This window comes from Homo sapiens, chromosome 3, assembly GCF_000001405.40.
Source record: "Homo sapiens chromosome 3, GRCh38.p14 Primary Assembly".
NCBI classification, from domain to species: Eukaryota; Metazoa; Chordata; class Mammalia; order Primates; family Hominidae; genus Homo; species Homo sapiens.
This window is the reverse complement of record NC_000003.12, coordinates 106,808,553-106,834,795: the sequence shown is the minus strand read 5'-3', so window position 1 is coordinate 106,834,795 and position 26,243 is coordinate 106,808,553. Positions and strand designations below refer to the sequence as shown.

The following is a 26,243-nucleotide window of genomic DNA, read 5'->3' as shown; positions in this document are numbered from 1 at the left end:
CTGTGCCTGGCCTGAAGTGAATTTCTTAATGGCATGAAATGTATAGTGGTATTGGTGGACATTAAGACATTAATTTGTGTACCAGGAACAAAATATTGTGTGTGTGTGTGTGTGTGTGTGTGTGTGTGTGTGTGTGTGTGTGTGTGTTTGTAGGCTCTGGGTAACACCATAACTTCCAATGTTAAATTGAGTAAGAGAAAAATTTAGAGTGGATTTTCTGTTTATGTTTCTCCTTTTAATTTTCATTTATTTGCTGTTTGTTCTCCTTCGGGTTTCACCTATACATACATATATATATAAAGCCACCGACGTTTTTAGTTTCTAATGGAAGGCTTTTATTTGGTTCTATAGTAGTTATTTTGTTTCGTATGCATTTCCAACAATTCATCATTTGCTCTATTTATCTAAAATTCCTAAGCTACCTTTGCCATGCCTCCAAAAAAAGATAGAGCACACCAGCCATTTAAAATTGGATTGGTTTTGCTTACTTCTAATGATCTAGAGAGTTTTAAAATAAAGACTTATTTTTATAAGTTCTGAACAGCAATAGTACACTATTTATTTTGTTATTTGGAAAAGTAGGTGAGAATAGAAATTTTTAAGTATTGTTTTTTTCCAAAGTAATTTAATTTAATCAATAATTTGAGTTGGTTTCAGATCTTTTCCTTAAGTAATGAGGACAAACTGTGATATGGGTACAAAGTTTTAATGTTGAGGAATGTTGGCCCTGTCCTTAAGGAAACTATATTAAATAGGATTTATCTCAAACTACTTTAGTTGTATTTACCATTATTAAAATTTAGTGACATTCTCTTAGATTAATTAGCAATAAAAACTTGTGAAACTTTCTAGTGGTTTTTAAATTTTTATCCTAAGTCTTTTATTACTGATGATGGGCCTTCATGTGTGCACTTGAAAATAAAATATGTACAAGTGTGGCTCTGGTTTGAAGATTCCATTGATGATAGTTACCTAATCAGGTGTCACTATTGTATCTAGAAGCCAATCTTGGAAATATGTGATGATGCCTTTTAATATGGCTGAAAAGAAATCGTTGTTTGTTCTTACTTTGCCCTTGTTTTATAGTATTTAAGAGAAAGAAGATTATTTATCCTCATTTTGAATTTCAAAAACTAATATTTGCATATACTACTTTTTTAATGACAAAGAAAAATGTTAATTGTCTTACATTGATAAGTCTGGTATAGGACCGATCGCATTTTTCATGCTTTGGTCACAGTTCTGTCACTAGAGTGCTAGTGATTAGGTATATACAAGCAGTGACCTAACTACTTTAATACAATGGTTTGAAGTGCTGTAGATGGTAACTACTAGACACCAAATCACAGTGTTTTAATTTGTGATATGTTAGAGAGAACAACAGGACTCGCTGCTGTATTAGTAAACTGAAACACTAATTTCTAAATGTTCTTTTTTATGTCTCTAAACATTTCATTAAATATTGTCTTCTATTCTTAGCATAAATGTATATACTATACTTGATCATTTATATCATAGACAGAAACTTATTTTATAGCAAAGTAGTCTATCTGCAAATTGTGGGTAGAATGCTCCTTTATTGTAATTTTATTTCTGTATTGCTTTCATAGTGTTTTGATTAGCACTTTGGTTAAATGAATAACTATTTTTTTCAATGACTTGTGATTCTGTTTTGACCAAATGTATTGATGCTTTTAACATTTTTGATAGATGTCCTATTAACTAATCTTTGTGCTAAATTACAGGGCTTTGACTCCTGGGTAAATCTAAAACACTGACACCAGTGCAAGCCTCATCTGTAGACCTGGGAGAAGGTGACAATCAAAATGAATTGCTTTCATGAAACACAGGGCCAAAAATTAAACTATTTAATTCCTCTAGAATCAGGGATTATTACAGAAGAGACAGTGGGGGCTTGAGATTGTAAGGGCCAATTTTGAAGAATAAAATTAGTTCAGACCCTCCAATTCAAGGATGGGCACACAGATGCCTAAACAGTTGACACATTGAGGAGCTTTGGCTCTTTAACTTCTTTAACTCAACAGGTTTAACAAAACACTTAAATGTGGGTTATCTATGTTATTAAACATCATAGTATCCCATAACACTCCTCCTCAGCATGAAGCAGCCGGAAAGATCTATGCCCAGATTCCCCATGATTGAGGAATTGATAAATAGAAAAGAGTAACTGATACTGGCCCAGTTGTCCCATAGAACTGATGTTTATGGTTTCTTGAATGAACATAGAAATTGACCCTTCCAGTCTTCAAACTTGAGAAACTTACATTTGTCTTATCTGAGTTCCTTTCTCAGGAAACTAAACATCAGACCTTCCAGAGAGTATCAGTGAACTGAAACTCACCAGATCACCACATCTAGACAATAAGACACCAGACCCCTCTTCGGTCATGATTGCTTAACTGACCACCTGGCTTCCTGTTGGCCTAACACCTCTCCCTTGCCCCCATCCCCCAACTAATTGCTGTTTTCCCACACATAGTTACATTTCTGTCCTGCTATAGAAAACCTTAATTTTAGTTGGTTGGGGAGATGCATTTGAAACCGATATCCTGTTTTCCTTGGCTGCAGAATCTGAATAACCTTCTTCCCTGGCAATACTTGTTGTCTCAGCGATTGGCTTTCTGTGGAGGGAGGAATGGGACTTAGACTGAGCCCCTGGTATTTCAGTAACAAAAGTATTCCCTGATAATCTTCCTTCATGTTTATCTCCATATCAATATCTCCTCACTGGGAAATCTAGCCTGGGGCACTTTTGGTTTTCTATCTAACCACTTTAAGAAAGTATAAAAAGAATGTGTGCATTGTATGCATTTATGAAATTTCTGGTATGCTCAAATCTTGCGTATGACAGATAGCTCTCAATTACCTATGCTCTAGTAATCAGAAATAAAAATTAGTTGTTTTGTTAAAAGTGATATAGTGCATGGGTGATTGCAACTTACTAGGAGCAATAGTGGCAAAGACATTTGCCTGTGTACACAGATTCTGAGATGTATTTTCTAATCAAGAGAAAATTGGTCTTATAGAAACATGTGTTGATGCAGAACATTCTATTTGATAGGTCTTGAGAATGTCACAGACAATTTTACTGAGGAAACTGCAATCGGTAACATGAGTTTGATCCTCGGCAGAAAATTCTGAAAGCAAGATGTAGGTAGAAATCTTTGGCATCTAAGCAACAATTCAGGAAAGGTGACCAACGTTAATTACAAGTAAACAAATTTTATTTCCCAGCCTCTCTCAATGGAGAGTTACTTGAACAGTATTTATTTTTCAAAAGACTGGAAATAGATGCAGATGGCTGAGGCTCCAACCCTGATTTGTCCATTACCTTTTTGCATGTTTTGTGCAAATCCACAGCCTTATGATTATCACTGTTCTTACTGGAATTATTAGCAAATAGTTTTGTAATTTCTATTATCCAAATATCTTATCACCTGATCCTTGCCTAACACTTCCGTTTCACCCCTTCTGCTCCTTTCTTGCCCATGCCCTTCCCATCCTACAAACCACATATGTAGCTTCTGATACTGAAATATTCTCTGTGCTCCTGCTCCAAGAGACATCAAGGGGTTAAGAGGGTGAACCCTGCAGCCAGCCGAGTCCCTGCATTTTCTCTGTCATTTCCCAACTGTGTGACTTACAGCAAGTTACTTACCCTCTGGTGCCTCAGTTTACTTATCTCTAAATAGAGATCAATATCAGCATCTACGTTATTTGGTTGTGACAAGGATTAAGTAAAGAGTACTTGTTTCATAGTAGCTCAAGTATTCTTTGGTGCTTTATTATTTGTTAGCAATGACATGTTCCTGTTTAGGAATTCTGCTGCTCCATTTTGCACTCTGAATCTATTACTGTGTGAGCGTATTTTTCAAATTCTACTTTATGAATATGTATGATGAAAGGTATTTGATAGAGTACTTGCACGTGTAAATTATTGCATAATTGTTGAGAAATTAATGAAAATTTTATTTAAAATGTTCCTGTTGCCTAGAAACAGCATAGATGCCGAAAAGTACTTCTCCCAAGTTTGTATTGAACAACTGAGAGATGTATGTGAATTCGTTTCTTTCCATTAAAAGAATTAAATGTGTAGAAGACCTAAAGAAAGGAAGTCTCTTTTGTTTTTATTGTGAATGACCCAGTACAGAGAGAATATGAATATTCTGGAATTTTCTGGTAATTGGCCCCAGGTGGGACTCAAGAGGGGGGTGCTGACATGCTCAAGGAAATGGAAATGCTCTCACATTAAGTTAATCACTCTGGCTGTTACTACCACTAAAGGGATCACCCTGTGCTCGGTACTGCTGCTATGTCCTTGTCTCTCATAAATTGCAGAAAGGCTGCAGGAAGGCTTTGAAATGTAGATTTTTTTTTTAGGGATTAATGGCACCCTTATTTGTCTAAGTAATGGACTTTTCATGATGTATTTTAAACTTATTGAGCATTAGTTAATTGCTATAATACATGTCAACAATGTGACTAAAGCTATTTCAATTAGATCAATTGTCTGATTAAGTGGTTACCAGTTAGCTTCCCAGGTAGTTTTTCTCCTCAAAGCCCTAAAAATAACATCTTTACAGAATTTCCCAAAATGCATACTGTAAGCCAGTTGCCACAGCCAAAATGGAATTATTTATTCAAGCATTTTATTTGCATCTGAATGTTTGGCAGTTGTGGAGAATAGCAACAAAACAAATAGGGGAAAATATTTGAAGATAATTTGTCCTCTTTTGACACTTAATTTGCTATCACACATTGAGTTTAAAATCCTCGATGTGATCTACAGAATTTCAAAACATTCCCTTTGTTTTTTCTTGACTCTTCATTAGCTTTCCCTGACTTCCCACAGACACTGCATTCTATGAACTTCCTTCACATTTAAATCTTTATTATCATAATCCCTTTGAGAAAAAACTAATAAACCAACAAAAAAATGCATCAGTTAACTAAAAGCCCACCCAAATTTTATAAATTTGTAAAACCCAAGAATATTACTTGGTTCATTCCTGTTCAGTCGACAAGTCAGTCAATGTATGTTGCAAATTCATCATTTTCTTGTTATTCTTTTTCTACTACTTTAGTCTGAGCCTCATCATTCTCTGCCCACATTACTGCAATAGCTTCTTAACAGATCTCCCTGTGTCTAGTTTATCCCTTCACTAGGTTCTTCTACTCAGCATGGCCAATGTACTTCCCAACTTTCATCTTGGTCATTTCTCTGCTTAAAAACTAACATGCCTATTATTTATCAAAAGGAAGCTCTTCAGCCCGTCTGACTTAAAGTCAAAGACTGAGTTCTGGCCAGTGGAATGTGGGCAGAAGGAATGTGCCCATATCCCTGCCTGAACCACAAAACCTCCCATACCATTTACCACATGCTCCCTGTCTCTATCATCTGCTGGCTAAATGGAGGGCATCCTGTGGATAATCCTGAGGTGATAGGCAATGAAAGAACCAACAGATTAAAATATCAAGGTCCCTGAATAGCTTCATGGTGCAGAGTATCTCGCCTCCACATCCCACTCCTGCCTTAGACTCAGACGTAAACAAGAATGAAAAGTTCATTGTGTGAAAACAGTGAGGCTTCTAAGATGTTTGCTGAAGCAATTAGCCCATTAGCCTAAGATGTATTGGTTTTGCAATAACAGTGTTGTTACTGCAAATCGAGATTAACAAATTTATTGGGAGGTTAATATGTGGGTTTTGAACTTCTCCTATGCAGTTTTTATTAGTTCTATGCTTATGGTTTTTGAATCTAAAAGGCTTTCTATGTTTATAATTCTTTATGCTAATTATTTTAAATCTCGTTTTGGAGTGCTTGAAAATAATGTTTATTTATTTACCTATGCAATAAACATTTAGCATCTATTATGTCCTAGGTACTGTGTTTATACAAAGAGAAAGGAAGAAAAGGTTATTATTTCTGTTTAAAAAAAAGGATTATATTACAATCTTATATAGAGACTTTTTGCTACCTAATTTTTACTCTCAGCATAAACTCTCAACAACAGCGTCACATCTCTCTGGATCCCAAGTGACTAGATTCTGATTTTCAGGCCTTATCTGAGACACTCAGAATTGTTTTGCTGCCTAATTTTTCCTAGGGTTTTTTTGATGTTAATGAAATAGGTTTTTTTTTTCATTATTAATTGTGAAGGAGGAATTCTTTTTTACTGAATTCCCACCCAAGTACAGACAGCATAGATTTTCTTTTGCAAGCATTCATTACTTTAGGTATTCCTTTCTAAAGCTTGAACACTTTGATGGTAATGTCATGGTAGAGGAGGCATCTTCTCTCTCTTTTGGCAGTTGACTTTTTGAAGTTAGATGATTAGGTCCAGAGACAGGGAAAGGAAATAGTACCTTCTTAGCTGGCTCCACTACTGAATTAGTGTGTAATTCGTGATCATTTCTCTTTCTAACCATCCTTCTCTTTTTGCTGTCATTTGATAAAGTTTATCTCTTACCCAAGGGCATAAAACTGGCAATGACTAGTTCACCACTTTTGACTACATGTTTGGACAAAATATAGGAATTTCAAGAGAGTCTTGATACTTTTAAAAAAAAATGTTGGTGCTATTAGGAAGCAAAACATTTGTTCATTGCTCATATTCCCTGTAATTTGAAAAAGAGAAGTGTGTGTGTTTGTGTGTGTGTGTGAGACAGAGAGAGACACACACACACACACACGGTGGGGTGGGGGGGTACTTTAGATTGATTCCTAGTTTACTAGAAATGCTGACTCATGAGTTAACAGATGAGCTCAGTCAATGTCATCCTCAGGTGTGTGTAAGACTGTTAAGCATAATATTCCTTTCACAACCTTTCTAGGTGTGTGGAGCAAAAGGGTGGGGATGGGGGTTGAGGCATGTCAACAAAGGTCAAGAGATGGGGGAAGGGTTTTAAAGAAACCCGGTGACTGGTTTCTGAGCCTGACTCTGGAATCTGGCTCTAGGGATCAGCCACCATAGGCACCACACACTTAGTGTGTTTTCTCTGTACTTTAATGGGCTCAGTAAGAAGATGACACTTATCACATTCTATTGTCATTAGCTGTTGGTTTGTCTTCCATGTTTGAAGGAAAAGACCATGTGTTACTCCCTTTCGAATCTTGAAACAAACACATTCCATAGAGTTTTGGTGACTAAGGGAGTAAATAAGTAAAGTGAAGGCTACATTTGCCCGATACTGTAGAAAAACAGGATGATGTAACTGAACTAAAGACTCTATTGTCGTATGAATTCTAATTTCCCTATCTAGGCTTCTATAAAATAAAGATAGGAAAGGAAAACACATAGTACTGAGAAAGATGAATGAAGGATGAGACAATTTAAATGGGAAGGGATGGGTGAAAGTTAACCAATAAAGAGAACAGAAGAGATTGAAAAGTAAGAGGAAACAGGATTTATAAGTTGAGATAGAGAAAGAGCTATGAAAGACATTAAAATGTTGGTGGAATCAGCCAGTAAACATCCAAGATTATAGTCAAGTAGTTGCTTGACCCACGTAACAGGATGTTGTAAAGATGTAGTACAGTAAACCACAGAGTTTCTCAGAGGGAAGCTGCTCTGTAGATAAGAAAGCCCCATTACTTTGTATTATTATTTTCCTTTCATGTTGAGCGGATGTACCAGTGACAGTTGGAGTCTCCTTTCAGCCAAATAACTCCCATATGCTACATAATGCTGCTGCTGATTAAAATCCTATGGAAGATTCAGGCTGTATCTGGAACAATAACAGTCTGAATTCGATTTATCAGTCTTCTGGGGAAGCAAAGATAATCAGATTTCCCCCTTCAGCAACTTTGGGACCAAGCCATTTGCTGAGATGACAATGGATGTGAGTCTCGCACTTTCAGTTTATACACCTGCTGCCTGTTAATCACAAGTTTCTGACATTTTTCTGAGTTTTTTTCCTTCCTATTCAAATCTTACAGGCTTTGTCATTTAAAGGCAAGGGCACTTCTGTGAAAACTAGTTACAGAAACATGCATGAAAAATTAGGGAGCTCTGTAGGGAGACAAAGTTATGGGCGATAGGAGGAAAAACACAATTTTGTCAGAAATCTGGATTCCAATATGCTTCTTAATTTTTTGGTATGTGACCTGAACAAGTAGTTTAAGCCCTCTGAGCTTTAGTTCCCTCATCTGTAAAGTGGATAATGATCTCGGCATCAGAAGGTTGCCTTGTAGATTAAATTACATGATTTGCATTTGACTGAGCATTCTGGAAAAATCTAGGTAATGAGAACTGCAAAGAACTCTGGGTACAAATACTCCATTCAAACCCGTGCACTACCGAGAGACTTGACCAAACTTTAACATGGCCAATAGCTACCTAAGGCCTGTCTCTGGGACAAATCCAGCCCTCTTTTGAGTGCCTGTCTTGAAAAGCTCTGGGCTGTCAAAAGAATTTTCCCTTTGTTCTACTCAATATCTGATGATAGGTCTCCCTTTCTTAGAATGTTTATCAAACAAACAAAAAAATTGGAAATCCTTTCTGTGTTTCTTTGAGATGTATTTGTATTTCATACAATTCAAGAGTGTCTTTCTCAAGGGCCTGAAAGCCATTCCTTTGAAATGCAGTCATCAGGAAGGATAGTCTGTGTTTTCCAAGCTCTGTAAGAGAACAGAATCCTAACTTCAGTAGTTGCCAGCCAGCAGACACAGCTGGCCTAATGGCATTTATACTGACTGACTGTAATTTTTCACTTGACTCCCTGCTTTAAATTGCCCAGTCACCTCTGTGCAAATCAGAATGCAGCTCCGCTCTTTCTCCTACTGTTAACAATTACTGAATAAAATCTGTTTTCACTACTTTAAACTAGTGTCCGATTTGGTTATCTTTGACACTAGAGACTGGCTTTGTGATAACACCTACCAAACCCCTGCCTCAAATTTCTTTTCATGGTAAATGTGTGCTTATGTGTGTGTGTGTATTTTCTGAAGGAGACGGTGAGGTTGAGTCTTCTCAGGATAGTTCATGGAAAAAAAAAAAAAACCTGGAAAAACATGAAAAGGTTGTCTGTTTTCTGCATCTGGTTCTGAGGAAAAGGACCGAGGGCTAGTTTATGTTGTAAATTTTTAAAGGTCACAAGTAAAAGTTAAACATGCTTTCATTATTTTAGCTTAAATCAAAATGAAATTTAAAGTGGATGCAGCTTTAGGCAATGCTGGATACAGGGGTTTAAAGGATGAAATTAGAACTCAGTTTCTTCCTTTAGATCATGCTGTTCAATAAAACACTCTGTGATGATAGAAATGTTCTATATCTCAACTGTCTAATTCAACTGTCACATGTGACTATTGAGTACTTGAAGTGCGGCTAATGGCCAACTGAGAAAATAAAGTATTTCCATTTATTCTGAATCAGTTCAAATGTAAAACACTGCGTGGTGGCAACTCTGTTAGTGAGCGCCATTCTAAATTATGCTGTGTTTGCCTCTTCTTGGCTTTATTCTCAAGACAGACTGTCTCTGTGTGGCATCTAGATGGCTCCTGGAGTGTCCAGACTTAGCCAGTTTTTAAAAAAATTATGATCTCACAGAAGGAGAAAAACTAGCCCTCCTTCAGTAGCCTTGTCAACTTCAGAAGCCTTGTCAACTTCTGATTGACCTTGCTTAGGTAAATCATTGTGTGCAAGAGGATGGACACTCATAGTGTAGTCTGAGTCACATTTTATTGTGGATCATTCAATTCACTGCCCTTCTGGAATAGTTTTGAGTTCAGAGGAAACCATTACTAAATAGTGGCTAAGGAAGAAGTGAAAGGACTGTGTGAGAAAGGGCAAAAGCAGTGACACCTTGTGGCCTGGTTGGTTTTACCAAACCAAGCCTGGGTCTGCTTATCCGGCACAGTAAAACCAAACATCCACACTGAGGTTTGCAGCAAGAGAAAGCATGGTGTTTATTTGCAGGGTGCCAAGCAAAGAGAATTGGACAGCTAATGCTTAAGACCTGACTTCCCTGATGGTTTACAAGCAAGGGATTTTAAAGGCAGGGTTGAATTTCAAAAAAGAAGTTACAGACAAAATGATAAATTAATACATGGAAGTTATACAATGCTTTGGCCCAAAATGGTGGGATATCTTGAAGCAGGGCCTTTCAGGTTATAGGTGGATTCAAAGATTCTTTGATTTGTGATTGGTTAAGAGAGCAAATCTTTGTCTAAAGTCTTGGGGTTAGCAGAAAGGAATGTTGAAGTTTGGCCTGTGGGCATGACTCCAGGACCCTCAGGAAGAAATTTAGAACAAAGAACAGCAGTCAGATTTCAGCCCTCAGTGCCCCTTTATCTGAGATCTGTGTGCCAGTGGATGGCATTTTCTACCCAGTGGGGGTCCAGGTTTATGAAAAACAACTCAGGAATATATGTTAAGATATTACCTTTAGCTACCAAGGGAATCAAACATCTTGAGGCTCAAATTTCCTTGGCTGTTGTTCTAAGTTATTATCACCTTTTTGCTTATTATCAGGTTGCTCATTTACTTACCAAAGCTAGCTAGGTACCTGGAAATTTCCTTGAAGGAACTCAAAATTTTTCTTTATTTTCATGCATGGGGAGTGGGGAGCTATCTTAGGTAGCAGGCCCCTAAGAGGGATCCCTGCTCCATGTTAGTGACAGTGTACCACACAGGGTTAATAATTAGAATTTCGCTCTTCAGTACAGAGAGAATTTGGTACCTGAAGTCCAGGTCAGGAAGCAGCAGAAACCATACAGTTTATAAAGTTTATAAAAGAAACCATGCAGTTTATTTCAGTGTCCTGAAAACATCAGCAGTATCAGCATGTGAGGCACAGTCTAGAAACCTCTTGTGTAGAGCGTCATAAAAAGGGTAGGAAAGTTAGACATTAAGCACATAGAGCAAGTCATGTGGCTCCTGTGAACTGCTGTTCTGCTTCATAAGCACATCACAAGCACGCTCCAAGAATTATCAGAAATACCATGGGTAGGGTGGGGTAGAAGCCTGCAAGTAAAGGTGGTAGTTAAATACAGGAAATAAGACTTTACAATTAATGTGACAATATTCGTATTTAAAGTCTAATAAAGCTGAGACATTTGAATCATACATTTAAGGGCTTAGAACGCTGAAATGCACACATTTTACCCACCGTTTCCAGCACATGCAGACACACGCATCTCATATTCAATTCTAGAACAGGTAGATTTTTCTGTGTTTTATTGATACTGGTGGTACAAAGAGATGTGATAGATTTAACTTCATCAGGATTTAGTGTATCCTTTAGAACTATGAAGATTTATTTTCTGAAACCTTGTGTGTTACAAAAATTCACTATTGGGAACATTGGAAGCAAATCTATAGACTGGGACTAATATTCAGCCATTGTATAAAAATATAACATATTGGTTGTTAAAACATAAAAATGATTATGAACTAGTTTTATACAACATCTTTCCTAAGTCAAACTATCTCCTATCGCTTATTGCCTCACTTCTGTCTCTTGTCACAGTCCAGCAATTAAAGTTTTAATTCCTGACACAGGCAGGGGCCTCCCAGTCCAAGACACTATTCTAAACCAGCTATGTTCTCATTGGTCAGTGCTCATGTGATGTGGTTTGGCTTTGTGTCCCTACCCAAATCTCACTTTGGATTGTAATAATCCCCATGTGTCAAGGGCGGGACCAGGTGGAGATAATTGAATCATGGGGTCGGTTTTTCCCATACCTTTCTTGTGATAGTGAGTGAGTTCTCAGAAGATCTTATGGTTTTATAAGGGGCTTCCCCCTTCACTTGGCTGTCATTCTCTGTCCTGTTGCACTGTGAAGAGGTGCCTTCCACCATGATTATAAGTTTCTTCAGGCCTTCCAAGCCATATGGAACTAAGAGTCAATTAAACCTCTTATCTTTATAAATTACCCAGTCTTGGGTATTTCTTCATAGCAATGTGAGAACAGACTAATACATCATGTTAGTCAGTTTCCCTGAAATTCCAATTGCCTTTGGCTTCCCAAGGAAAACCAAAACAATCATTTCATGCTCTACCAGCATTTTATTTTTTTTGTGTTGGTTCATCAACCTACATTTTCACTTATTTGTTGATTACATTATTTTTAAATCCTCTGTATCACAGAGATACAAAGTAATGAAATATTGTCATGGGAGCCATCGGGTGTCACTTTTCCAGCTAGAAATTTCTGTGGCTGGTGGAACCTTTGCTCGAGTTTTGCTCGAGGCCCAGAGCTTATTTCACCCACTCGGCCTGGCAGGCTGCGCTTGCCTCAGGCTACCAGCCTGGATCCCATGCCTGCCAAGGGTGAGTCGGGGATGGAGTGGCACAGGGTGCATGAGTGAGTGAGTGTGGGGTCTGGCCACTGTGCACAGCCAGGCATGCCGGCTGCTGAAGCAGGGCAGGCAGCTCCAGACGCCGGCTCGAGCACTGACTCCTGTGCAAGCCTGTGGCTGGATCAGATGCACCACAAACAGCTTCCACTGCAGGCACCTGCATTTGGACAGAGGGAACACAGTGGCTCCTGGGAGCTTGAAAATGCCAGAGACCGGAGTCTCAAAGAGGGTGTCGCAGCCCTGGCTTGGGGGGCTCCCATGTCTGGGCTCCCCAAAAGGCCGCAGCTCTCTTCTCCTTCTCATTGCCCACGACTGGTGAGCAGTGGGGACATGTTCCAGCCCTGTTTGTTTTTTTATAGCTCTTTCAGTCGTACCATTCGATGGGTCCTGAGTTCTTGTCCCACATCCAGGAAGAATGACGTATGCAGACAACTGAAAGATGAGCAAGGTGGAGAGGAGCTTTATTAAGCCACAGAACAGCTCTCTGGAGACTCAAGAGTGGGTAGCTCCTTCCCACAGCTGGTAGTCCCAGCATCTGTGTGAAATCTGGCTGATTCTGGGTTTTTTATAGGCTCAGAAGGGAGGAAGTGTGTGCTAATTGGTTTATGGGTAGCCATGGGTGGGCCTGGAAAAAGCACCCATAAGTTCTCACTCCAGGCCACGGACTCGACCTGGAACTAACAGCCCAGCCCCCAGGTTCCAGGCCATCCCTGGCTTGAAAGTGGGGCTTCACTGGTGACCTGCTCCTTTCCACCCAGGAACCCGTCTGCCTCCCAATGTCATCAACATGCCGTCCATAGTGCACAAGATGTTTGTGCCAAGGTGTGCCTGCAGGCCTGGGTCGAGCCACTCTCAGTCACTGCCCTGGCCTCCCTCCCATGCTTGTCAGTGTCTGATATGGTTTGGCTGTGTCACCGCCCAAATCTCATCTTGAACTGTAGATCCTATAATTCTTAAGTGTTGTGGGAAGGTCCCACGGAGAGATAGTCGAATCATGGGGTGGTTTCCCCCATACTGTTCTCGTGGTAGTGAATAAGTCTCACGAGATCTTATGGTTTTATAAGAGGAAAACCGTTTCGCTTGGTTCTCATATTCTCTCTCTTGCCTGCTGCCACGTAAAATGTGACTTTCGCCTTCCGCCATGATTGTGGGGCCTCCTCAGCCACATGGAACTTTAAGTCCATTAAACCTCTTCTTTATAATTTACCCAGTCTCAGGTATGTCTTTATCGGCCGTATGAAAACAGACTAACACAGTGTCCAAAGTCTGGGGGCGGGGGTCTGAAGCGGCAGGAGGCTGACCGTGTCAGTGCTGCCTGAGGTACACACACTGGCGGTCGCTACAGCGCCTGGGCTTGGCTAAAACTTTGCTCTTCACCAGAGTGGGTTCCAGGAGTGGGGAGAGGCCAGGGAGTAGGAGCGGGCACTTCTGATCCTGTTGGGGAAGGGGGGTTTCCTGGGCCCCCGAGAGCACAGGGATGCCCAGTTCTGGAGCTGCACCCAGGAGGCTTCAGCTGTGCCTGGGAGCACGGACTCCTGCCCTGCCCTGCTGACTCGGCAGGAGGTGTAGCTCCTGCCTGTTCCTGTCCCACCGTCTCCTCGGAGCACGCAACCCCAGCTGGACTTCCCTCACTGTAGCTGGCAGCTTTGCAGCCGTCACTCCAGATGGGCTGCCACTGCCATCAATATTTAAGATATGTTGCCTTGTTTGGGAAATCCATAAAGTCTTTGCTTTATGGCAGATGAATATAGTAAAGAAAAGGAGTTAAATTTAATTTTGTAGCGATGTAGTCCATAGTGACAACTGGAGAAAATGCTGCAAGTTTGTTAGGAGGCTAAGTCTTACCGAAAGAGAACTGCCATTGATACCTATAAGATTTAGTCATGATCACAAAATTAGGACTGGATAGGGAGTACAAACAGCTGAGACAAAAACTATGATCGACAGGCACCATAATTTTCAATCAAATAGCCTCAAATCCGTACCTTCAAGTGACAATAGGGATGTATCGCAGGTAGAGAAATTTATGGTGTGATTAGTGGAAGATGTATGTGTGTGTGTTTGTGTGTACTTATATAGTCTTAGCATAAGTGTAGTTATTGGCTTACATAGATGTGTTTAGTTAGTTCCTATTAAAACTGCTATGGAGAATTTTGTAGAGGTTGAGAGATCAAAGGGTCTGGAAAAATGTGGCATTAATTCAAGCCAGATGGGATCAATAATTCTGGAGACAAATAGTTACAAATTATTGTAACTATTGCAAAGCCCAAAACCTTGAGAGACAGAATTTTGCAGCTTTAGACCACTGGGAATAAAAATACGTTGTTTTGCAGTGTGTTGATGGTTTAAATTTTTGACACCTACTGCACTGTCAGTCAGTCTGAACTCTTCTGCCAACTGACAGACACATCATTCTAGAGATGAAGCAATGGATTCAAATAGTTTTTTTTTTTTTTTAACTTTTTTAGATTATCTTTCTTCTTTCCTCAAATACAGATCAAAACCTAGGGAGGTGACTTTTGTCTTCTTTACTTCGTTAACCTAAAACTGAGGAGAATTTTAAGTTTGTAAATTCTGAATGTGAACATTTCAGAGGCTGAATTTCTATAACTCACAATCATGCCGCAGGACAATAACACATAGCCAATAACTTAGATCTGTGTTCCTTTACTTAGATTTGTTTGCTAAGGAAAACTATGGAAACCATTGTTTCTTCTGAAAGCCAAACTCAGCATTTGAGAGCATTTAGTATTTAGCCGAGTGGTAGAGCAGCAAACTCATTTTGAGTAAGATATTTAAAGAAGGAGCACCATATGTCATCAGCTGGCATAATTTAACTTGCAAATCACATGTTGGCAAGGGCTAGTTGGCAGCAGATGGCTGAACTCTTGTGTTTCAGACCCCAAACCTATCCTTTCCCATTTTGTGTTAGAAATCTAATTAAAAGCCTTTTTAGCACCATCAGATTAATTATAAACAAGCCTCTTTATCTGGTAGAAAACTGACCTATGTTTATCAACCTTCCCCCCAAGTCGTCTATTTTCCAAGATATTCTTCAAGAAGTACTTTTCTCCAAGCTCATTTGTTCAAATGAAACACACTTAATCTTTGTATCTTAAATCCCATGAGCTACTTCTTAGGCCAAATATGAGTCACTTATTTACTATTTAGGACATAAACTGCTATTAACTTAAAACTACTTGCTAATTGAATTAGTACCTTTAGTCAATTTGGTGAAATTTGTTGATAGACAATCTTCTTTCAGTTATATATTTGCCATTGAAAACAAGATTTTATAAAGCGTAAAGTCTTTTATCATATGTTGGTACATTAAATATCAGAAAAAAGGACATGTGTTTCATTAATTTGCCTGTCACTCTACTAGTTTATGATAAGAGGACTGACATTTCTGTACCATCTGTTTGTATATGACATAAAAAAGCTATATGTGCTTAGTTATGGACCGAAGTATTTAGACAGAGTAAATCCACAAGCATTTGCTCAACATTTTGATAAGTATTAGGTTATTTCTCACAAAGAATTTTGTTATTATTAGATATTTTTTATTTTAAAATTTTGTTGTAAATTGAAAAATTATAATTATACATATTTTAGTGGTAAACAGTGATGTTATGATATATGTATGCAACATGAAATGATTAACTCATTAATCATAGATAATTAGCATATCTATCACTTCACATACTTGTCTTTTTTTGGTGAAAACATTTAAATATGTAAAATTCAAGAAAAGCATAAGCTTTTATAAAAGGTGTGGGAATAAGTGACTATTTCTTTCCCAACATACGGATGAATTGTACTAGTGGTTAAAAAAAGGAGAGTTATCTTCTGGCTTTTGCTTAGGATGTAAAAGGCTGGTCAGGGCATCCTTTGTACCCTTATAATATAGAAAATAGATCATCTGTAAATTCATAGTTGTTCTTGGATTCATCAGAGAGCTGAGGTTTTGGGGCAGCCAACTAACCCAAAATCTAAAGGAAGATATTCACCTGAAAGGAGACACAGACTATGAGCATTTGCTTTTTTGCAGCAGATGCTGGACCCCATAAAATGTGTTCAGAAGAATGCAACTACAATTTTTGACAAATTGCTAAAAACTGACTTTGTTTTAGCATGAGTGCATAGAATCCCTGGGAGCTGCAGTCAGAAGGGGAAATTGCAGGTATGTGCATGATCACCACAGAGCTCACCAGGTACTTACAAGAGAGATTAAGAGCATGGTGGGAGTCCTGAGAAAGCCTTCATCTTGATGCAGGCACAGGAGTGGGGAACAAAAGATGTTGTGGAAGAGGAAAAGGAAAAGGCAGAAAGCCTTACCAAGAACCTTCTCCCCTACTTCTCTACAGAGTAAAAGACAAGCTTCTGTGGAAAGGGCAACAAACACTATCACCCTCAGACCAGAGGTGAACATCCTTTGCAGCAAGGTGAAAGAGATACAAAACACCCTCTGCCCTTGAAGGAGAGACAGGAGACGCCTCTGTTGGCTTCTCTGCTGCTTAACAGAAGTCATGAGATGCCTGGGTAACTGACAAAGAACAAAGGACAGTAATAGCAGTAGCCAGAGTATCAGCATAATTTCCTCATGCCTGTTCCCCAGACCCTGACATTCAGAGGACCAGGTGACTCCTATAGACACGTAAGGGTATGGAAACTCCCTGACTTAGTTTTCAGCATTCCAAGAATTGCCCCGCAAGAAAAAATGGCCAACACGATATCTGCCCACCTCTCGGTGGTTTCAGAGTCTCTGTGATCTTGGCACCTTAAGTTCTAGCAGCTTCAGCCAGTCTCTAATGCCTCAAATCTAAACTTTTTCTATTTTCCCTGTATTTCACGTGGGTTTTCTTTTCCTTGAGTTGCTTGCAAGATGCTTCAACTTAGCCACACCTGGAATATATTACATATTTGTTTCTTGTTTATTTTCCATCTTCTTCTTTAGGAACGTAAGCTCTGTGAAGTTCGGTTACTTTGGCTTCTTCTCTAATAAATCCCCAGTGTCTTGAAAAGCACGTGGCAATTGGTAGGCACTTAATAATGTTAAGTAAATAGACAATAGACAGCTGAGTTCACATAGGTAAAAAATAATAAAACCACAATTTAAAAATTTTGTTTTCTATCTTGATGCCTACTGACATATATAGTAGTTTCTACATTTACCCGTATCTCTGTTGGTACATGTTTTCTTAGTAAAAAGAGTGCATATTTTTAGCACATTGGTTTATTAGTGCATATTTATGTCTTTAGCTATAATCAAGAGGAGATGTATGAATGTTCTTTGAGTTTAGAAAGAGTTACTTTATTCTCTAGGACCCCAAAAAGGTGTAAACAAACAGATTATTTTATGCACACATCTGATTCTTTCCTTTCTTGTAGAGTCCTTTCAAGTCTCTGCAGCTTCAAGCTTGCTGACTTCTTTGATCAAAAACTGCACTCATTTTGGAACCAGTTAAAAGGTTGTGTTTTATAGGAAGTCTTTTAAGAGTTTTTTTCCAGGTGACTCAGTTACTCTCATCTCTGTGTCGGTTCTTCTGTTATAGAACTTATTATATTGCCTTTTAGTTATTTGTTTACATGTCTGGGTTTCCACCTAATTACTGAGCTCGTTACATAAATATCTTTGTATCCTTAGTACCTAGCACACAGCCAGGCGCATAGAAGTATCTTAGAAAATATTGGCTGGATGCATTATTAAGCTAAGAATGTTGTCTAGCTTGGGAGTATGTACATTTTCAAAAGATGACAACGAAATGACACTTTCTAATTTTGGGATTTTAGTTAGCAATTCTCTGTGTATAAGAGCTATTGGGATAGCAGAGAGGCCTTCTCAGAACCACTGGACTCTATTATTCTGTTTATTCCTGAACTTACAAACTTTAAATATCTTTTTATAGCTGATAATTCTATGAATCAGCCTTAACATTCAGAGGTGGGGCAAATGGTGTCATGTAGGTGGTGTAATTTAAAGGAAACCAGTAAGATTTTCCTTCCTCTAAATTTCCTTTATTTGTGTTTGAGATTCCATATATCTATTGCCTTGTTTTAGCTCTGCAGTCATGCTGTAGACTAATCTTAAAACAGAAATCTGTAGAGACATGCATTAATTTATTAACCAGATCATTTATCTTCATGGTAGGAGAAATCTGGAGAGGCAGGAGCTCTGTATACCTGGAGAAAGGTAGGAACGACAGGAAGGGAAGAGCAGAGAAAGCAAGGATGATAATTAGGGACGCCAAAGACCAAATGTGAGTTATTGACACCTCTGTCAAAATTTAATCTTCCCTTGAGGTGGTATTTTTATATAATATTGTCCTAACCTGCCAAAAGAGGTGATGCAAATAGTACTATAAACATCTTTGTGTTTATTTAGTGGAATATTATATGTATTATATTATGATCCAGATGGGGAAAAGATTAGGGTTTCAAAAAGCATATAAAGGCCACTTAGTAACAAATTTACAGAGATGAAAATATCCCAGTGTTTTCTGTTTCTCATTTAACTATTCAAATCACATATGAAGATAGCTGTTTTATCCTATTTTTGCTCTTTTTACCACCACATGGTAATAATTAAAAGACCTTTACTATAAATCACCCAGTTGTCTATAGATTTTGGGTTGCTTTTCATAGGTTGATGACAATGTAAGTGCCTTGGACTGTAAGTACTACCATTTGGCATAATCTTGCTCTATACTTGCAAAATAATATTCTTTTATTATAGAAATGGACTACTGTCTCTCACCAGCAATCTTTAAAGGATACAGATACAGGTAAAAAGATGGTGACTCAAGGCTTAGATAAGTTGGCCACCACCCACATTCATATCTATAAGCCTTTTCTCTGTATACGCTTAGAATATGGAGCTATGTTTTCTATGTATGTGATATAATTAAGTAACCCTAAGCTTCTATGAAAAAAATACATTTTTGCTTTGAAGAATTTATCTAACAGGGGACTCAGCATCTGGAGGGAGTAAGTTATAACCAACCCAAGAATTTTTTTGTCAGTTCTTCTGCCCTCATCTCCCCCAATAATATATAGAACTTGAACCCATTTCTATCCTTACCCAGTCTCTTTGTCTTCCTGGTGGAACACTAAGGAGCTCACAGTTCTCACTTCTAGGAGACAAAAGTATCCAGGGATTTGAAGCACAGAATCCAGACTTTGTCTCTTAATAACTGTAATCTTGGTCAAGATATCTAATCCCCAGATTCCATCTGCTCATCTGTTAAAGTGAGGTTTAAAAACAGTACCTACCTATAGGGTTGTAGTGAGGGTTAAATAAGATAAGGCACACAAAGCACAATGCTGGAAAACAACAAACATTTCATAAATAATAGTTGCTATTATTCTTATAGTTAGTGTAATAGTATTCCCCCTTCATGCCCCTCATGTTTCCATGAAGGGGAGAGAATTACTACTTCACTCTCTAGAAAAAATTACAGTGGGTTGGGGAGAGAACCTCTATCCTTTCTCTTTTTATTCCTACCCATGGGTGGGAGAGTGAATAATTTTATTTGGAACATGGAAGTCCTAATGTGTCAATTTCAGCTCCTTATCACTTCCCAGATATAATTTGTCCACAGCACATACAATTCAGGTGTTCCTTTCACCAAGCCTGCCTCAATAGACAAGGCTTGTGGTTATCCAGATATGCCAATGTCTGGTTTAGGATAAAGCCTAAACAAGCCACTTTAACTACAGATCTTGAGCTATATTCTGCAATAAGCTTTATCAGTAGTGTGATCATTTTATATCCATGTGTCCAACTTTCCTTTCTTCCTATTTGTTTTACAGTTGAATGAGGAAGGTAAAAAGGGCTGTTTATTTGCTTTCCTGTCCCCCCAAGTTTTTGTTCTCTAAATCATTGCTGTGTCCTTGGGTGCTCTTAACTGCAATTATCACCATGGAATTCCTTTATATTTTGAGCCTTAGGCAGTTTTCTCCATCTGCTGGCTGTGCACTTGCCAGGCAGTGGCCATTGCCCTTATTGAACTGGTTCCACAAATGCCTTTGGCCTGCTCCCATCACAGCTGCTGAGCTGATGTGAGAGATGGTGCTGCCTTAGACACTTTCTCAGTGTTTGTTCCTGCCACTTCCACTGTTGCCATGGCAGACATAGGTGCCTTCTCCAGAAGCAGTTAGTATCTTCTAGTCCTGTGCACCCTGTCTGGGCCTCTGGCGCTCTCCTCTGCAACAGAAGTAAGACACTTCTCCAAATATTTAGGACACGCATTGTGTTGAATCTACCCACATTGTGAGAAACGTCACTTTTCTATTCCCATGCACATTTCCCCCCCATTGGAAGCACAGATTTTCTCCTTAGAAGCACTCCCATTATAGAGTATGCACCCTTAATTCTTTCCTTTTGGGTATCTTCTCCCCTATAGTAAGAAGAAACCTTCCTTCTAGATTTAGCTGACAGCTGCTGAAACGAATACCCTGATCAAGGATTGTGAGGCCGGAAGCAAAGGCATATTGTCAGTCACGCAGGAATTTTTTGGCCCATGTTTTGTGCAAACAGCTGCTGCATTTTCAATTTTGAACTTGGCAGACCTTATTTTAAATCTGCTTTGCCAAAAACTGTGGCTCTTTTGCCTTATTTTTCTTTTCTCCCAATTGGAAAAAAAGAAAGGGTCAAATAGAGAGCTAAAGTGGGGTCAATATGGAGTTGAATCTCTAGCAAATGCTACTATGTATTTATCAGCATCACATATTTTGGGGGTATTTGTGTGGCCAGTCCATTTAGGTATGTATGTATGTAGGTATGTGTGTAGGTATGTATGGAGCAAATAAATCATAGGCAACCATGAAATTTATGGTTTGTTATGGTTTTCTAATGTCTGAGGAGATTTCTGGTCTAGTAAAATGCATATATATAAGTTCCCTTGCAACCCTGTAATGGTGTTTATTTCTTTTCCTAAGATTTCTTATATCAAATATTCTTCTTGAAATCATTCGCCACCAGTTGGTTTTAAAAAGTCAGGAAGATAATTTATGACACATGAGACTCAAAAGTCTCCATTTTTTTGTTGTTGCTATTCAATGGTTCCTAATTTCCTACAGAATAAATTTCTAACCTTTATCTGGGTATAAAGGGAATGCCTTTCAATACCCGGCATGAAACTCTTTCCACCTTGCATCCTGGAGCACCTCTTTCTTGCCTCCTCCTTAACTTCTTTGTCATCTTCCTGTTTCCTGGTGCCCATAATTCTAACTGAGTGATTTTTGGGGGGGAACATGTCATGCACTTTTATGCCTCTGAGAATTTCTTCATGATATTTGCATCAGATTTTACTTTAAATTTTTTTTTCTTTCCCTTGCCTGCTTGGAGAATTCATACTCATCCTTCAGGACCCAACACAAACAATACCTTTATAAAGTCGTTAAGTTAATTGTTCAATATTTCTTTGTTTGAATGTTTGCCTTATCAACTAGTGAGCTCTGCAAGGGTGAGATATAAACTTATTCACCAAGTTCCTTCCCAGCACTTATGCTTATTGTATTGGGGTGGAAAGAGGAAGAGGAAACAGACATCTGTCTTCTTATATGACTGCCTGCTATGGCATCACTTTTCCTATTTGTTATTACCACAGGTACAAACTGTTGCCTAAGGATACAGGGTGTGTGGCTGGTGGCCTCAACAGGCCCCACGGCTCAGGCACTCAGACCCAAGCTGGTCCCTCAGGTATGGTTAGCCCTTGAGATATTCTGCCTCATCTTCTTTCTGACCCCTGCTGGTGATCTCATCCTCAAGCTCTTTCCTCTGGGGCTGAGCTCTGCTTTGTATTGCATTGGTCCATGACCAGCCAGGAGGCTCAAGTGTCATCTACTCTTCATGGCCCAAATGTGTGCGATGAAGATTGGTACTCCATGTAGCTTCCTTCTTGGCTTATCTCCTCGGCCCTCTCTCCCCACTACAAATAAATAAATTCTGTTTATTCTCGTAATAACTTTAGGTGGTATATACTATTGCTATCTGATTTGGTTTGGGTGTGTCCCCATCCAAATCTCATCTTGAATTGTAGCTCCCATAATCCCCACATATTGTTGTGGGAGGGACCAGATGGGAGGGAATTGAATCATGTGGGCAGGATTTTTCCATGCTGCTCTCACGATACTGAATAAGTCTCATGAGATCTGATGGTTTTATAAAGGGCAGTTCTCCTGCACATGCTCTCCTGCCTGTTGCCATGTAAGACATGCCTTTTGCTCCTCCTTCACCTTCTGCCATGATTGTGAGGCCTCCCAGCCATATGGAACTGCGAGTCCATTAAACCTCTTTTTCTTTATAAATTACCCAGTTTTGAGCATTTCTGCATAGTAGTGTAAGAATGGACTAATACACTATCCCAGTTTTACAGATGAGGAAACTGAGATACAGAAGACATAAAATCAAAAGTGGCAGGATTAAAACCCAAGCAATCTGGCACCAGATTTAATGCTCTTAACCCAGTGTACCGTAAAGACTTTTATGTTAAATCTCATGCTTAAGTTAGCATATAAACTAATATTTGTTTACTGCCTACAGCATAACAGTTAGTTTATATTATATATGTACGTATTCCTTGAATCACTGAATCATTATAATGGTGGAGCCATGATACAAGTCCTAATTTTATGACTCTAAAGTAAATGATCTTTTTACTAAACACAACTGTTTTTGTAGTTCAGATGCCAAAAGTAGTTTTTGAAGATTTATTTTTAACAAAAGGGTAACTATTCTTCACTTTACAAAAGTATTCATAACAAAATTAGCTATAGAGAGGATGAGTAATTTTAGGTCCTGAACGATTTTGCTGTGCACTGATCTTTTGTCTTCCGTTTTATCAGCCCATATTACTAAATGCCTGACTTCAGAAAAAAAACGTAAACAAAAGACAGAGATTGGAAGCATCAGAATTTTATTCCAGTGACTCAATCCCCATTGTGTGAAGTAGACCAGAATGAATAAATTGAACTTACTCAGCACCTCAATTATTAAATGTATCCACAGAAATTCATTCTGTCAAGTTAACTGTGGAGGTTGTTGTTGCTATTGCAGGTATGAACATTTATCTTTTTGTGCTCTGTCATCATATCTGGTTTTTGCTTTCTAAACAGAACACCAAATTAACCCATTAAAGAAAATCACTGATTTTCTGATTCCCACAGAACATTTGATTTATGTAAAGCAGCATGTGTTTAATCATTTACTTTAATCATGTTTCTCACTCAACAAAAGTTATCAAAATAAAAAGGTGTAGCATTAAGTCACTGTAATTGTTTCTGATAGACTACAGTGTTAGTACCTAAATGAAGAGATGTTATTCTATGTTTTTGTTTTTTGTGTTTGTGAGGCCCTTCTTTTTTATTATTTTCTCTTAAATATGTATTAGGTTACAATGTTAGTAGACACTAAAATATTTCTTTTTGTTTTATGGCTGGATACTATTTTCTTCAGACTAAATGGTTTTCCTGGGAACTCTGACTCTGGCCACAAGATCAAGACTGACAAATTTCCTTTCTCTGTTTATGGAGGGAGACTTCACAACATTCACTGAAAGAGGAGCAAAGGACCTGGTTTTTGCCATGACTGGCTTTGGCCCCGTGAATGAATGTTTTTCTGGCATTGGAAAGCGGATAGCAAAGAGAGCAGAACCACAAATGGGCTATGAGGAAATGTGTTCAATGAAGAAAACAAAATCTCTGACAAGATCCAACATAGGACAACATCTCAGCATCTTCTGTGATTTGTGAACCCAAGTAAAGCACTTCTTAGAGTTATCTGGCACATTCGCAACTAATAGCTTTCTGTGAATAAATACTGTGGCAACCACGTTAACTGTACAAAAACAAATTGCTTATTTCTTATATCCATGCTGGAAGATTATCTGGCTGACCTTATCAGCTGTGATGTCAGGAATGTCAGCCAGTTATCCTGTGGTGCATTCAGCTGGGTCATTGTACCCCATCAGTGAGGCAATTGCAAAGTTCCATCTGGACAGAGGTAGAAAAAATTATATTCACTTTGAGTTTTGGATTTTTTTCTCTTAATTTTCAAAGATAAAGACAATTGCTTTTGGCTTTTAAGAGACACATCTGGTATGCCTTGGGCTGGATGCCAGATATTTCTGCTGTTGAGTTTTTATAACATTATATAGGCCTCAATATTTTAGAACTAGTATACATTTGATAAAAGTGACTTTTCTAAAGTTTTAGGGAGAATCTTTTGCTTAGGTGCAGCTGAGTATTTTTAGTTCAGTACTACAGATGGCATACCAAATTTAAGAGGAGTTGAGTGACTGCTTCAAGGTTGCACAGCTAGTTCTTGGTAGATCTGGAAAAGGACCAACATCTCTTGGCCCTTTGTCAGATATTCTTTCTTTGATTTCACACTGTTTTTAAAGATGCTTAATACATTTTAAATTAAAATGGTTATTTGAATCTGCTTAAACTAGACAATACTAATTGTCAAACATCCATTACCTGCTTTTTCTCTAGTAACAGATTGGTGCAAAAAGAATTGCGGTTTTTGCCATTACTTTTAATGGCATTAATTACTTTTAATGGCAAAAACCTTAGTTCCTTTTGCACCAGCCTAATAATAAAACCCCTAATTTTAACTTGGCACGTGGCCAACCAGAATAGAAACTACATGTTCCTGCTTTGCTTTCAGTAGCATTAGCTGAAGTAATCTTCAATGGGGATAGGAAAAATGAGGTGCACAACTGCCTGGTTGCACTCTTATAGGAAAGGCATAACCCTCCATTTCCCTTTTATCTTTTCCACTCACTAGAGTAGTGATCTGGTCATAATTCATTCTGGACCATGTTGACAGGGCAATATACTGGAGATTGTAGAGAAGAAGTCAGAAGGGACTTGGATCCCTGATACTATGGAACTGTCTTGCAGCCCTAGTTTGCTTATGTCTAGACTTTTATGCAAGAGAAAAAATAAACATTTCTTTGTTTTAACTACTGATACTTAGATCTTAGCTACAGCAACTGAACACACAATGCTATTTAATAATTTGCAAATGTTATACTGCCAGTTGATATTTTATAACTACCAAATTTAAGTGCAGTAAATGGGCATTATGCTTGTTTAAATGTCTGGCAATCTTGGAATTATACCATTACCATCATATGTTGCATGAGATGGTTTTCCATTCCATTTAGAGTCCGTACAATAACTCATACAATGTGTCACTACTGCTGTCTCTTCTCAGCGGGCTTCAACCATACTTATTTCTTTGCCGTTCCTAAACATTCCAGATATACTCAGTGTTCCTTCCTCAGGGTAAATGTTGTTTTGTTGGTGGTGTGGTTTGTTTTTTTTTTAATTCCTCTGCAGCAAATCTCTGCCTAGCATTCTGCATGTAGTATTGTGCTTCCACAATTTTAGAATTTTGCTCAGTTGTTATCTTTTCATTAAGTCCTTTCCTGATGACATCAATAAATTTCATTCTCCACTGCTTGGAACTTGTATATCCTTTGCATTTGTAGGTTTTCTCCATATTATTTATTTCCCTTTTATTCCTTCTCATTGAAATAAAAGCTCTGTGGGAGTGGAGATTTTGCCATTGCTGTGCTCTCACAACACTGTCTGCCAACGAAAAGTCACTACATAAATATCTATTGAATGGATGCATGGATCAACAATTGAGTGCTTTAATAGATGTGAGTGATGTTATGATCTATTAAGGGGGTTTATATTAAGCTGATAACTGACTTTATTTTCTGAAATATCCATAAAAGGAATATGTTGGCTCCTCTAGAGGTAAAACCTCTTCCAGTGAAGCTATAACTGATAAAAATTTCACACTGGTATGCACACCTCATTCATTCACAAACATAGTTGGATATCGCAACAGATTACTAATCTCTGATTTTGAATTAACTAGCAAAATCTAAAAATTTCAAG

General features: G+C 38.4%; 1 long non-coding RNA gene across 1 annotated transcript, besides 1 other annotated feature; it reads left to right on the top strand.

The window, feature by feature from the left end:
* Positions 4,168 to 4,761: an enhancer, noted in NCBI's record as "OCT4-NANOG hESC enhancer chr3:106548882-106549475 (GRCh37/hg19 assembly coordinates)". NCBI's record gives its function as "activates a minimal SCP1, AML or CMV promoter by ChIP-STARR-seq in naive H9 embryonic stem cells {active_cell/tissue: H9 hESC(naive)}" and the evidence as "EXISTENCE:reporter gene assay evidence [ECO:0000049][PMID:30033119]".
* On the top strand, positions 11,726 to 25,801 carry LOC101929534 (uncharacterized). The gene is made up of 3 exons (XR_001740472.2): positions 11,726 to 22,026; positions 23,172 to 23,382; positions 23,782 to 25,801. It is a non-coding gene; the product is annotated as an uncharacterized LOC101929534 (long non-coding RNA).
* Positions 25,802 to 26,243: the final 442 nt, after the last annotated feature.